Source organism: Homo sapiens, chromosome 9 (assembly GCF_000001405.40).
Source record: "Homo sapiens chromosome 9, GRCh38.p14 Primary Assembly".
Classification (NCBI taxonomy): domain Eukaryota; kingdom Metazoa; phylum Chordata; class Mammalia; order Primates; family Hominidae; genus Homo; species Homo sapiens.
The window spans coordinates 129,812,787-129,825,698 of NC_000009.12; the positions used below are offsets into that span (position 1 = coordinate 129,812,787).

The window sequence follows — 12,912 nt, forward strand, 5'->3', positions numbered from 1 at the left end:
CGAGGGGACAGAGCCATCCTAGGATCCTCAGATCCCTGTGTGAGACTTCGTTTCTTTCCAACCTGGATTGTTCTGCTAGGTCTTCACTCGCAGCCTTACCTCATAAGGTCTACAGTGGAGGGGCGCTTCTCCCTCTTCAAAAACGTACTCACCAATGGCACATGCAAAATTTTATTGTAAAACGGTAGCCATTTGCATTTATAAAGAAAGACACCGTTCTCAGCATCCTCAGAAGGGGCAGCTAAGCTTTATAGGAGGTTTCGGGGATTCTGATTGAACGTAACAAATAATAGTATAAATGAGGAAGATTTAATATGGCAAAATTCACATAATTTAGAATCCAGCAGAGAGCACGTGTGGGCTATTTGGAATGGACAGTGAAGGGCCACCTTTTGCAAAACGGAGTGACTGGCAAGTGACAAGTTGGAAATACTTTTCTTTCAAAAGACTGGTTCTAACAAATGTTGACAGTGTGGCCAAAATCACTCCCACAGCTCCCATTGTTGCTAAGGTGAAAACCCTTGGAGAGGCTGTTTCAGGCTTATCTGTGGTGCCTGAAGGCGTCCTCTTACCTACTTGTCCTTCACCTAAACACTTCACTGCCCCTGGCAGCATCCGCTGGGACCATCCTGGGACAGAGCTGGCTCATGCTCCAGCCACATCCCCAGGGATGCCCTCCTGTGGAACAAATGCCATGCATGTGTGCTTGGGCTCATTTCCAGTAAAGATACATCACAGTCTATGTAATAATGATGAGAACTTAAAAAAAAACACACACACAAGGCCAACAACTTAGAATCTGAGCAGTCTCTCATAATGTTAAAAATCATTTTAAATAAAGTTACCACATTTTCAATAAAACTTATTCATCCTTCCTTGAAACAGAAACACTTGGAATTAAAACATAATTTGTAAAAAATCATGAGCCCTGCGATGAGTGGGCTGGGAGCTGGCTCCTTCCTTCTGTGCGTGTTCGGGAGGCTTCACGTCCTCGCCCGTGGTCCCTGGGTGGCCTGCAGGCACCAGGGGGTGGAAACAATGCCAGGGAGAATTCCTGTCACATCAAACAGGAACATTCACTGGATTCCTCTTCCAGGGAAAGGAGCTGGGGGTGGAAGTGTGGAAGGACTGAGTGTTGTTTCTTTTCCAACTCCAGGCAGTGACTCCGGCTGCCAATCATGACTGTCAATCATCGTAGTAATAATCTAACTTGGTGAACACCGTTTTGCAGCCTTTATCTGAGAAAACTCTCTCCTCTTTGGGGAAAAATGTCATCTCCTCAGCCACTCTGCTTACAATGTCTTCATCAATTTCATAGCCTCGGGACTGCATTTCCACTCGGATACACATTTTTAGGTGTTTGTATTCCAGGGGGAGGAAGGGAACAAAATAATCAATGAGGTTCCGGTCAATTAAGCTGCTGTGCCAGAAGCCACCTGGGAAGAAGAAACAAGGTGCTGTTCATCCACATCCACCCACCTGCCCTATAGACGCCTCCTGGGGGTCACTTACCTACCCTCCCATCCGTCCCACAAACGTCTACTGGGGGTCACCTATCCATGCCACACACACCTACTGGGGGTCACCCACCCACCCCCCCCACATCTACTAGGGGTCACCCACCCTCCCATCCATCCCATACACACCTACTGGGTGTCATCCACCCTCCTATCCATCCCATACACATCTACTGGGTGTCATCCACCCTCCTATCCATCCCACACATACCTACTGGGTGTGCCCTCTCCCTTGTGGAGCTCCAGATCAGTGGGGAAGGCAGATGTTAACAGGCACCTGCACATTGTAATGCTTCTGTGACAGCAGAAGCTGTGACAGCCCTCTTTACACGGCGGGCTGGGGGAGGCCTCCCAAGGTATGACTTAAGAGATCGAAGATGGGAAAGAGGTCCTGGGGCCCAGGAACAAGCAGAGAGGCAGAGTGGGGAAGGCAGAGTTCCACAGAAAGCGGGAAGCAAGAAGAATTCCCGGGAAGGACTACCAGCCACGCCTCTGTATTTGGGAACTTTTTGACTCTCCCTGGAGTTTCAGCAGCTGGACTAGCAACAGGGAAGCCTGCTGCCGCTGCCACAGTGCCCAGACCCTGCAGAGCATGTGGGCACCAAAACTAGCCTGGAGAGTGCAGATGTGCAGCCCACGCTGGGCTCCCCGTGAAGGCCTGGCCTTGGCCGTGTTTTCTCCCCTGAATGCGGGCTGGCTCTGCACTGACCCGTCCACTCCTCCTGGGCTCCTGGAACTCCTGACCCAGGACACTTCCTCCCAGCCCCAGATGACACAGCACACACTGCGTCGCCCACGAGCCCATGCGTGTCTTCTACTGAGCTGATTCCCTTCTGGTCTGCCATGTAATTCTGGGGCTCCGTCCCCAACCCAAGCTCCTCCTCATTCACTGGGTTAATGCTTTTCATGCCCAACAGTGCTTTGCACACAACTGGTACTCAATAAATGTGTGGCTGACTGACAGAGTGGAGCCTATGGCCAGGGAAAGAACAGAACCAACCACTGAATGGGAACGAGGGGCTGTCTTGCTATCATGAACTCACGTGGGAGGCTGGTTCTCAGAGGCCTGCTCTGTGCCAGGCACGCCCTGGGCCTGGGGACACAGCTGAGGGCAGACGGACCTCACGGCTTTACCACTCTAGGGCAGGAAACAATCTCAGATGGTGCTTGGAGTGGCGAATGCCACACAGCAGAACGGACATGGAGAGCGGGAGGTGGAGCAGGCTGGGCAGGACCTCAGGGCAGAGCCCGAGCAACAAGGACCCAGCCACGCAGACCCAGGAGTGACGGCAGAACAGGTGACCTCAGGCAGCCCTGAGACTTCACAGTCATCTCCTGAGGACTCCCAAGTTTGCCCTCCTGGCCTGATGGCCTCCCTGGAGCTTCGTGGCTCTGCTCTGATGCCCTGATGCCATTGCCCACTGAGCTCGCCCGTCCTTCCTGCTGTCCCTTCCCTTCAATGGCAGTGCCACCCTTCCCATCGCTCAAGCCAGGTCCTTGATTCTTCTCTCATTCCCATATACAATTCTGCAGGAAGTCTTACAGGTTCTACCTTCAAAACACACCCAGAAGCCAACCGTGTCCCTCCACCCCCACCGCTTCCACGCTGGGCTCCCTGCCCCTGTGGCTGTGGGTCTGTCCTCCATCCAGTTGCCAGCAAGGTCCTGTGAAGGCCCCGTCAGATCACAGCACCACCTGCCCAGGACCCTCCAGGCCTCTCTCTTCCACTTGGAATAAGACTCAAGGTTCACCATGGCCCGCCAGGCTTCCCACGGTCTGCACCTCCACCCCAAATCTCGCCTCTTCTATCACCTCCCGTTTCCCTCCTCTGTTTATCCTCAACCAGTCACAGGGACCCCAAGCACAGGCCCCCCTCGGGCCCCTGGACGTGCTGTCCGCACTGGGGAATGCTTTTCCCTCAGACATCCACATGGCTCACTCCCCCGGGTCAGCCCAAATGCCACCCTCACAGGGAGCCTTCCCTGTCCACTCTATTAAAGCAGAGCCCATCCTTACCCTGAACCCCAAAGCCTTTCTTGATTTTTTTCCCCTACTGGCCCCGGGGGGAAAGATATCTATATGTCCACATGTGTACATGTGCGATGTGTGCATATGTACTGCATGTATACACACAAACACATCACACACATCAACATATCTATCCCCCATCATCTGATACATTTTCTTTCTTTATTATCACTAGGATGTAGGATTGATAAGGGCAAGAATTTCTGTGTTTGTTCACTGCTGTGTCCCCCGTCCTAGGTATGATGCCTGGCACTTACCAGATGCTCCATATACATGTGCTGAATCAATGTTCAGCCATCTGCCTGAGGTCACAGTCAGTCTGTGGGCCAGGGCTGCCCGACTCCCAGGTTGGCACTCCTAAGCACCGTGTAACCTCCACAGCGTGGATTCTAGGCCACGGGGCTCATCTGCCTCAGCATTAGGCTAAAGTTTCCACTGCATGTGCTCATGTTTTTTGGCAAGGCAAGAAACTATCCAACATGTTACAAAATACTTGTCTTTCCTCAGTAGTATTCCACTTGCACACACTGACATACTGTACCCCATGCTGTTCACTAACTGTAGGATTAATTTCTTGGCAAGTCTGTTTCAAATGAGCCCTTCTGTTTTGTCATCTCCAGAACCTGAAGCGCAAAGACTTGAACAGCCAGCCCTGCACAACTCACAGGTCTTAGCCAGTGAGTCAGCCTCCATCAGGCTGGCTTTCCACCTCCCCAGGTTCAAGGTCAAAGGTCTCATGACATTTGGAGAAGTAGTGAGCTAAAACTTAAAAGCTCAGGTTTTAGAATCAGAGATACCGAACAGGCTGCATGGCCCTGGGCAAGCTGCCACATCTCTGAGTCTCAGTCTCTACCCTGCGAGGTATGGTGAAGACTGAGTGAAATCCGCAGGCAGGCTGTTTCACACGGTGCCCAGTACAAAATAAGGGCCGAACCGCTATTTGGCTGTTGCTCTTGGGCAATGCAGAGAAAGGGAGGAACTAACAGGTCATCTCTCCCCCTGAGCTGCCCACGGCATCCTTCCTTGCTCAACCACTGGCTCTTTCTTCTACAAAGAAAATCATGTAGCTGAAGAAAATGGGGGAACTGGCCAGGCGTGGTGGCTCACGCCTGTAATCCCAGCACTTTGGGAGGCCGAGGCAGGCGGATCACGAGGTCAGGAGATAAGACCATCCTGGCTAACATGGTGAAACCCCGTTTCTACTAAAAATACAAAAAATTTGCCGAGTGTGGTGGCAGGTGCCTGTAGTCCCAGCTACTCGGCAGGCTGAGGCAGGAGAATGGTGTGAACCTGGGAGGCAGAGCTTGCAGTGAGCCGAGATCGCGCCACTGCACTCCAGCCTGGGCAACAGAGCGAGACTCCATCTCAAAAAAAAAAAAAAAACAGCAGGCCAGGTATGTAGCTCATGCCTATAATTCCAGCACTTTGGGAGGCTGAGGCGGGAGGATGACTTAAGTCCAGGAAGTCAAGACCAGCCTGGGAAACATAGGAAGACCCAGTCTCTACCAAAAAAAAAAAAAAAAAAAAAAAAAAAAATTAGCCAGGCATGGTGGCGCAAGCCTGTGGTTCCACCTACATGGGAAGCTGAGGCTGGAGGATCACTTGAGCCTAGGAAGTCAAGACTCCAGTGAGCTGAGATCACACCACTGGACTCCAGCCTGGGTGACAGAGTGAGACTCTGTCTCAAAAAATAAGCTGAGCACAGTGGCTCACGCCTGTAATCCCAGCACTTTGGGAGGCCGAGGTGGGCGGATCACCTGAGGTAAGAGTTCAAGACCAGCCTGGCCAACATGACAAAACCCCATCTCTACTAAAAATACAAATATTAGCTGGGCATGGTGTGCACCTGTAATCCCAGCTACTCAGGAGGCTGAGGCACAAGAATCGCTTGAGCCCGGGAGGCAGAGGTTGCAGTGAGGCAAGGTTACGCCACTGCACTCCAGCCTAGGTGACAGAGTAAAACTATCTGAAAAATAAAAATAAAACAGCACTTGTCAAACATTAGTGTTCATAAAAGTTACCTGGAGTTCATCAGCAAAGATTCCCCTCATGACTCGGAAGGGGACTGAGAATCTGCATTTCTTTCTACCCAGCTCCCAGGTGATGCTGACAGTGACCCTGATGCTTTTAACACTTAGGGTGCAGGATTAGGAACCAGATGGGACTGGCGGTGGATGGCCCTACTCACTGTTCTTGTTATTGAAAACCGACACAGACAACGCGTGTTCAATGTCTTTGAGCTTGATGTCTTCCCTCTGCTTTCCACTCCTCCAGAAATCCAAAGCCACATCTGTGATCCTTTCTGCTCCAGCATTGCTGCAAAACAATCCCAGTGGGTAAGGACAGGGTTTTCTCCTGGAGCTCAGAGGCTTGGGCTCGGGGCCCATCCATCATGTCCTAGCCCTGACCTTACCTGAGAAATATGAACATGGCTTTCTGGTAGGAGACCCCATCCACCAGGTCATAATAGTCGAGGAAAGGCTTGATGGCATCTATGAGGCCTGCATGCATCTTATCCATTTCATCAAATATGAAGATGGACCTCGCACAGGCACTCACGTTGCCTCGAATCCACAACTGTAACTGATCCTGAATTAAAAGGGGAAAAAGCGAACACAAAGTTCTCAGCCAGGGCCATCAATCAGCTCCTTCTACCACTAAGAACCGCAGCTTCACTTACAGACCACTGTGCACTCGGCACTAAGAACTTTACATGCCCAAAATCTTCTTTGTTCCTACCAACCCCATGGAGTGGGCACTATCGTTCTCATTTTACAGATGAGGGAACTGAGGCACAGAGAGCGCTTACTCCACTTGCCCAAGACTATATGTGGCAGAGCTGGGACCTGAACCCAGTCCTGTCTCACTCCAAAGCCCGATACTTTGGTTACGGTTCCCGCACTGCGAGATGCCACACGGATGCTGTCAGAGATGCTGCTCTTTTGTCATCAAAGGGGCAATGTGGGATGTCATGAGGATACTGATTTTTATTTAAAAAGGGGGTGGGGTCGGGCATGGTGGCTCACACCTGTAATCCCAGCACTTTGGGAGGCTGAGGCAGACGGATAAGTTGAGGTCAGGGGTTTGAGACCAGCCTGGCCAACATGGTGAAACCCCATCTCTATTAAAATACAAAAATTAGGGCCAGGCATGGTGGTTCATGCCTGTAATCCCAGCACTTTGGGAGGCCAAAGTGGGTGGATCACCTGAGGTCAGGAGTTCAAGACCAGCCTGGCCAACATGGTGAAACCTGGTCTCTACTAAAAAAAATACAAAAAAATTAGCTGGGTATGGTGGCAGGTGCTTATAGTCCCAGCTACTCAGGAGGCTGAGGTAGAATTGCATGAACCTGGGAGGCGGAGGTTGCGGTGAGCCAAGATCAAGCCATTGCACTCCAGCGTGGCGACAGAGCAAGACTCCATTAAAAAAAAAAATACAAAAATTAGCCAGGCATAGTGGCAGGCGCCTGTAATCCCAGGTACTTGGGAGGCTGAGGCTTGAGAATCGCTGGAACCTGGGAGGTGGAGGTTGCAGTGAGCTAAGATCACCCCACTGCACTCCAGCACTCCAGCCTGGGAGACAGAGCAAGACTCCGTCTCAAAAAAAAAAAATAATAATAATAATAAATAAATAAAATAAAATAAAATAAATAAATAAAATAAACAAGGATTCACTCAGACCTGTTAGGCTCCAGCAGCCAAGGTTTCTCACTCTGGTGACCAAACTTATATGCAATAACAGGGAACATGCACTGAGTGTTCACTATGGGAACAACAATATTCTAAGCACTGTTCATATAACTTTTTTTTTTTGACAGTCTCGCTCTGTTACCCAGACTGGAGTGCAATGACATGATCTCAGCTCACTGCAACCTCTGCCTCCCAGATTCAAGCGATTCCCTTGCCTCAGCCCCCTGAGTAGCTGAGACTACAGGCACCTGCCACCACGCCCAGCTAATTTTTGTATTTTTAGTAGAGATGGGGTTTCACCATCTTGGCCAGGCTGGTCTTGAACTCTTGACCTTGTGATCCACCCGCTTCGGCCTCCCAAAGTGCTGGGATTACAGGCGCGAGCCACCACACCTGGTCTGTTCATAGAACATTTTACTGTGACCTCCCAAAACCCATCACGGTAGTTACCATTGTGCTCCTTCTTTTACAAATGAGAAAACTGAGGCACAGACAAGTGAAGTAACTTTGCCCAAAGTCACAGTTATTGTTAGTGAAGCCTCAATTCTAAGATGATCAACTTATCCTGATTCGTCTAGAATGGTTCTTGTTTGTTTGGGACAGGGTCTCACTCCGTCACCCAGGCTGGACTGCAGTGGCTGTCTGCTCACTGCAGCCTCGACCTCCCAGGTTCAAGCCATCCTTCTGCCTCAGCCCCCTAAGTAGCTGGGACTACAGGTGCATGCCACCATGCCTGACTAATTTTTTTGTATTTTTTTAGTAGAGATGGGGTTTCACCATGTTCCCCAGGCTGGTCTGGAACTCTTGAGCTCAAGGGATCAGCCGGTTTTGGCTTCCCGTAGTGCTAGAATTATAGGCATGAGCCACCACACCCGTGGAACATTCGCATTTTAGTACAGAACCGCTGGACAGTGGGTGACCCACACGCTCACCCAGACAGAAGGGAAAAATGTGTTCACATTTTTCCATAGATACAGTCAGGGATAAATAACTGATTGAGGCCAGGCATGGTGGCTCATACCTGTAATTTCAGCACTTTGGGAAGTAGAGACAGCTGGATGACCTTGAGGTCAGGAGTTTGAGACCAGCCTGGCCAACAAGGTGAAACCCTGTCTCTATTAAAAATACAAAAATTAGCTGGGTGTGGTGGCAGGTGCCTGTAATACCAGCTACTTGGGAGGCTGAGGCAGCAGAATCACTTGAATCCGGGAGGCAGAGTTTGCGGTGAGCCGAGATCAAGATCCAGATGGTGCTACTGCACTCCAGCCTGGGTGACAAGAATGAAACTCAGTCTCAAAAATAAATAAATAAATAATTGACTGTTTTGCCCATCTTGCAGGTCTGCTACAAGGATCTAAAAGGCAACAGTTAACATTTATTTGTAACATGCACCAGGTACATGTTATGCACTTGACAGACAGAGCTCCCTGGATTGTTACAAGCAACACTTTGTAAGTCAGAATCTGAGTCTCAGGTCAGGCAACTTTCCTAAGACTACGGAGCTGGGAGAGTGTTAGGACTCAAATCCAGATGTGTCTGCTGCCAAAGCCCAAGCTGCTCATCAGTGAGTTCAACCATAAAAGCTGTTTGCGGCTGGGCAAGGTGGCTCACGCCTGTAATCCTAGCACTCTGGGAGGCTGAGGTAGGCAGATCACTTGAGGTCAGGAGTTCGAGACCAGCCTGGCCAATGTGAGGAAACCCCATCTCTACTAGAAATACAAAAATTAGCCGGCTGTGGTGGCACATGCCTGTAGTCACAGCTACTTGGGAGGCTGAGGCAGGAGAATCGCTTGAACCGGGAAGGTGGAGGCTGTAGTGAGCTGAGATGGCGTCACTGCACTCCAGCCTGGACAACAGAGTGAGACCCTGACTCAAAGAAAAAAAAAAAAAGGCAGTTTACAACAGTAGGTTCAACAAACTTAGGACTCTACATGTTTCCTCTTTCACAAAATGAGTGAGATGTGGCCAGGCATGGTGGCTCACGCCTGTAATCCCAGCACTTCGGGAAGCTGAGGCAGGCACATCACCTGAGATCAGGAGTTCGAGACCAGCCTGGCCAAGTTGGCAAAACCCCATCTCTACTAAAAATACAAAAATTAGCTGGGCATGGTGGCAGGACCCTGTAATCCCAGCTACCCGGGAGGCTGAGGCAGGATAATTGCTTCAACCGGGAGGCAGAGGTTGCAGTGAGCTGAGATCATGCCATTGCACTCCAGCCCGGGTAAGAAGAGTGAAACTCCGTCTCAAAATAAAGAAAAAAATAAAAAAATGAGTGAGATGTGTTGATCTCTAAGATGGATTTGATCATGTCCACCTCTAAAATCCCATGACCCTACATACTCACTGGACCGATTTTCAGAACCCACCACAAAGCTTTGATGGTATTAACTGCTCCACGCATCTCAAACTCTTAACTTCTACACCTTTCCAAGGGGAACTGAGACATGAACCGTTTTCCGGGCTCACTCATTTCAACATAGAACTCCCAAATCTCATCCCACAACAAAGAGACCCCAAACCCGATGACATCCAGGAAGGGATTCCAAACTTCCATCCTTGCCTTGTACAAGGTGATGTTTGAAGCATGTGGAAAGTGCAATGTGGCCACAAACAGGTGGACATAGTCACTGTTCAGACCACCCTCGTAAATATTCTCTGCGATGATCTTGCTGACGAAATTTTTGCCGGTGCCTGTCCACCCGTGCAGGGAGAGCGTGAGAGGTTTCTTGGGCTTTGGGTTGTTTATGAAACCAAACACGGCATTTAAGATGATTTTCTTTGCAAGATGCTGTCCAAAGAGGTTGTCGTCCAGATCCTTCTGCAGTGCTGGGAAAGACAAAGCCAATCAGGAGTGGGGAAGAAACAGCGGCAAAATGTAGCCACATTTACAGCCCATAAGAAAGCCAGCAAAGCCGTCTAGACGCCCTCCAAGCACCTTGCGAAACCTCAAGTACTGCGGTCTGTAAGCTCCTGGCCCAGAGGGGACGGCGGTCCAGGGAGCCCTCCCTTTGCTGGTCCTGCCTATTCTAAAGCCCTGGCCCGACTCCTTCCCGAAAAGCCCCTTGGTGCCACTGCCACTGCCACCAGTTTGCACCCCTAACCCCTGTGCTGCTCCTCCCACCCCAAGGCAGAGCCGGGAAAGGAAACAGTTTGGTCCCTCCTGGTCGGCTGCGGAAGAGTCCTCACCATCCTTCCTGTCTCCCGCTAGGCTAGAAAGGAGGCAGAACCCACTTCGGAGGGAGGTTACCACTGGTCCACCCCCAGCTTAGCGCAAAGTAGGCCAACCTGCAGCCTGGCTCCTCAGGTCTCCGACTTAAGTCTGGCACGTCTGTGGTCATGGCCGAGGAGCCAGGCCTCATCCTGCAGGCCGGCCGCTTGGCTTCCGGGGTCCGGCCCCCGCGGACTCAGCTCTGCCCAGGCCCGGCCCTCCTGGGATGTGACCCCTACCCCGGCCTGGCCCTAGTGCCATCCCCCAGCCCCAGCCCCAGCCCCAGCCCCCGCTCCTGAGCCCCAGCCCCCAAACTCCGCTCCAGCCCCAGTCCTAGCCCGGCCCTACTGCCATCCCCCAGCCTCCATCCACCATCCTCAATCCCCTAGCCCCAGCCAACCGCCCTGGTCTTAACCCAGCCCTAGTGCGATCCCCCAGCCCCACCCCCAGCCCCCGGGCCCCGCTCCATCCCCCAGCCCCAGCCCCAGCCCCAACCCGGCCCTAGTGCCATCGCCCAGCCCCAGCCCCCAGGCCCCGCTCCAGCCCTAGTCCTAGCCCGGCCCTGGTGCCATCCCCCGGCCTCCATCCTCCATTCTCCATGCCCTGGTCCTAGTTCAGCCCTAGTGCCATCGCCCAGCCCCAGCCCCAGCCCCAGCCTCCAGCCCCCGCCCCAGCCTACCCTCCCGGCTAAGGCTCCGCTTCTGCCCGCAGCACTCGGCGAAGAGGCAGTAGAGACGCGGGTAGATGTAGCCGGTGAGGACGCCGGCCAGGGCCAGTCCCAGGCTGATGGGCTCCACCGCCTGCACCACGGACGGCGCCAGCAGCAGCAGGCCCAGCACGGCCCGGCCCAGCTTCATGCCCGGACCCGCGCCACCCTGCTTGTTCTCGCGCCGACCGCGAACCGGTGCAGCCGCCAGACCCACGCTTCCGGTTCCTCCTCTCGCGGAGGCCATCTTTCTTCAGGGCAGCCCTCCTCCCGACGCCGGCGGCCGCCATCTTTGTTCGGTACAAAGCCCTGTTTTGCTTCCGGAAACTCGGTTCTGCTCCGCCCCTGTTGGCCACGTGTTTTTGTTTATGGACGTTATTTTTGCCAGGCATGGTGGCTCCTGCCTGTAATCCCAGCCCTTTGGGAGGCTGAGGCGGGCGGATCACCTGAGGTCAGGAGTTCGAGACCAGCCTGACCAACATGGTGAAACCACGTCTCTACTAAAAATATAAAATTAGCCGGGTGTGGTGGTAGGCACCTGTAGCCCTAGCTACTGGGGAGGCTGACACATGAGAATCGCTTGAACCCAGGAGGCGGAGATTGCAGTGAGCCGAGATCTCACCACTGCACTCCAGCCTGGGAGACAGAGCAAGACTGTGTCCCCTCCCCGCAAATAATAATAATAATAATAATAATAATAACGGACGTTATTTTTTAGAACAGATTTACAGAAAAATTGAGAAGATAGTAGAGAGTTCCCATGTGCCACCCATCCCTGCAATTTCCCCTATTACTAAAATCTTACATTATTAGTGTGCTACATTTGTTAAAATTAACGATGCACTGTTGTCATATTAACTAAAGTGTAGTTTATTCAGATTTCCTTCCTTTTACTTAATGCCTTTTTCTGCTGCAGGTTTCCATTCAGGATACCACATTATATTTCGTTGTCATGTCTTAGACTACTGTTAATGACAGTGTCTCAGCCTTTTATTTTTATTTTAGCTGGAGTGCAGTGGCATGATCTCAGCTCACTGCAACCTCTGCCTCCCAGGTTCAAGCGATTCTCCTGTCTCAGCCTCCTGAGCAGCTGGGATTACAGGCACACACCACCATGCCCGGCTAATTTTTGTATTTTTGGTAGAGACGGGGTTTCACCATGTTGGCCAGGATGGTCTTGATCTGACCTCATGATCTGCCCGTCTCAGCCTCCCAAAGTGCTGGGATTACAGGCGTGAGCCACCGCGCCTGGCCTCAGCTTTTTATTTTTGATGACCTTGATAGTTTTGAGGAGTACTGGCCAAATCTTTGGTGGGCTGGCCCTCTATTGGGATTTGATGTTTTTCTCAGGATTAGACAAGCGTTATGGCGTTTTGGAAGGAAGATCACAGAGGTAAAGTGCTATGCTCATCACATCCTACCAAGGAAGGGTTCTTACTGTTCAACGTTACTTACCACTGTTGGTGCTGACTTGATCACTTGACTGAAGTAGTGTTTGTCAGGTCCCCCCACCCCTCTTTTCTCTACTGTACTCTTTGGAAGGACGTCCCCATGCACAGCCCACACGTAAGGAGTCGGGGATTTTGCTCCACCTCCTTGGGGGCAGAGTATCTACAGAAATTATTTGGAATTCTGCATGGGAGATTTGTTTCTTCTCCCCCATGTATTCAATCATTTATATCAGTGTGGACCATTGTTATTTTATCCTTTGTTATACTACAGTACTAATTTTTTTTTCAAATTGTTCTCATTTTGGCCACTGGG

At 51.4% G+C, this 12,912-nt stretch overlaps 1 protein-coding gene across 1 annotated transcript, besides 2 other annotated features; it reads right to left on the reverse strand.

Moving 5' to 3' along the window:
* On the reverse strand, positions 156-11,350 carry TOR1A (torsin family 1 member A). The gene is made up of 5 exons (NM_000113.3): positions 11,122-11,350; positions 9,795-10,060; positions 5,959-6,134; positions 5,734-5,861; positions 156-1,436 (listed from the first exon to the last, which is right to left on the reverse strand). The coding sequence occupies exons 1-5, from the start codon at positions 11,297-11,299 to the stop codon at positions 1,186-1,188; spliced, it is 999 nt and encodes a 332-aa protein (NP_000104.1). The 5' UTR covers positions 11,300-11,350; the 3' UTR covers positions 156-1,185.
* Positions 10,735-10,824: a silencer, noted in NCBI's record as "silent region_20390". NCBI's record gives its function as "represses an Ori minimal core promoter by ATAC-STARR-seq in GM12878 lymphoblastoid cells {active_cell/tissue: GM12878}" and the evidence as "EXISTENCE:reporter gene assay evidence [ECO:0000049][PMID:35858748]".
* Positions 11,235-11,544: an enhancer, noted in NCBI's record as "active region_29122". NCBI's record gives its function as "activates an Ori minimal core promoter by ATAC-STARR-seq in GM12878 lymphoblastoid cells {active_cell/tissue: GM12878}" and the evidence as "EXISTENCE:reporter gene assay evidence [ECO:0000049][PMID:35858748]".

Coding starts and splice junctions, on each gene's coding strand:
- TOR1A (NM_000113.3), bottom strand. CDS start 11,299: ATGAAGCTGGGCCGGGCCGTGCTGGGCCTGCTGCTGCTGGCGCCGTCC. Junction 10,061..11,121: donor GCGGAGCCTTAGCCGGGAGG/GTAGGCTGGGGC, acceptor TGTCTTTCCCAG/CACTGCAGAAGGATCTGGAC. Junction 6,135..9,794: donor CAAACATCACCTTGTACAAG/GCAAGGATGGAA, acceptor CTTTTAATTCAG/GATCAGTTACAGTTGTGGAT.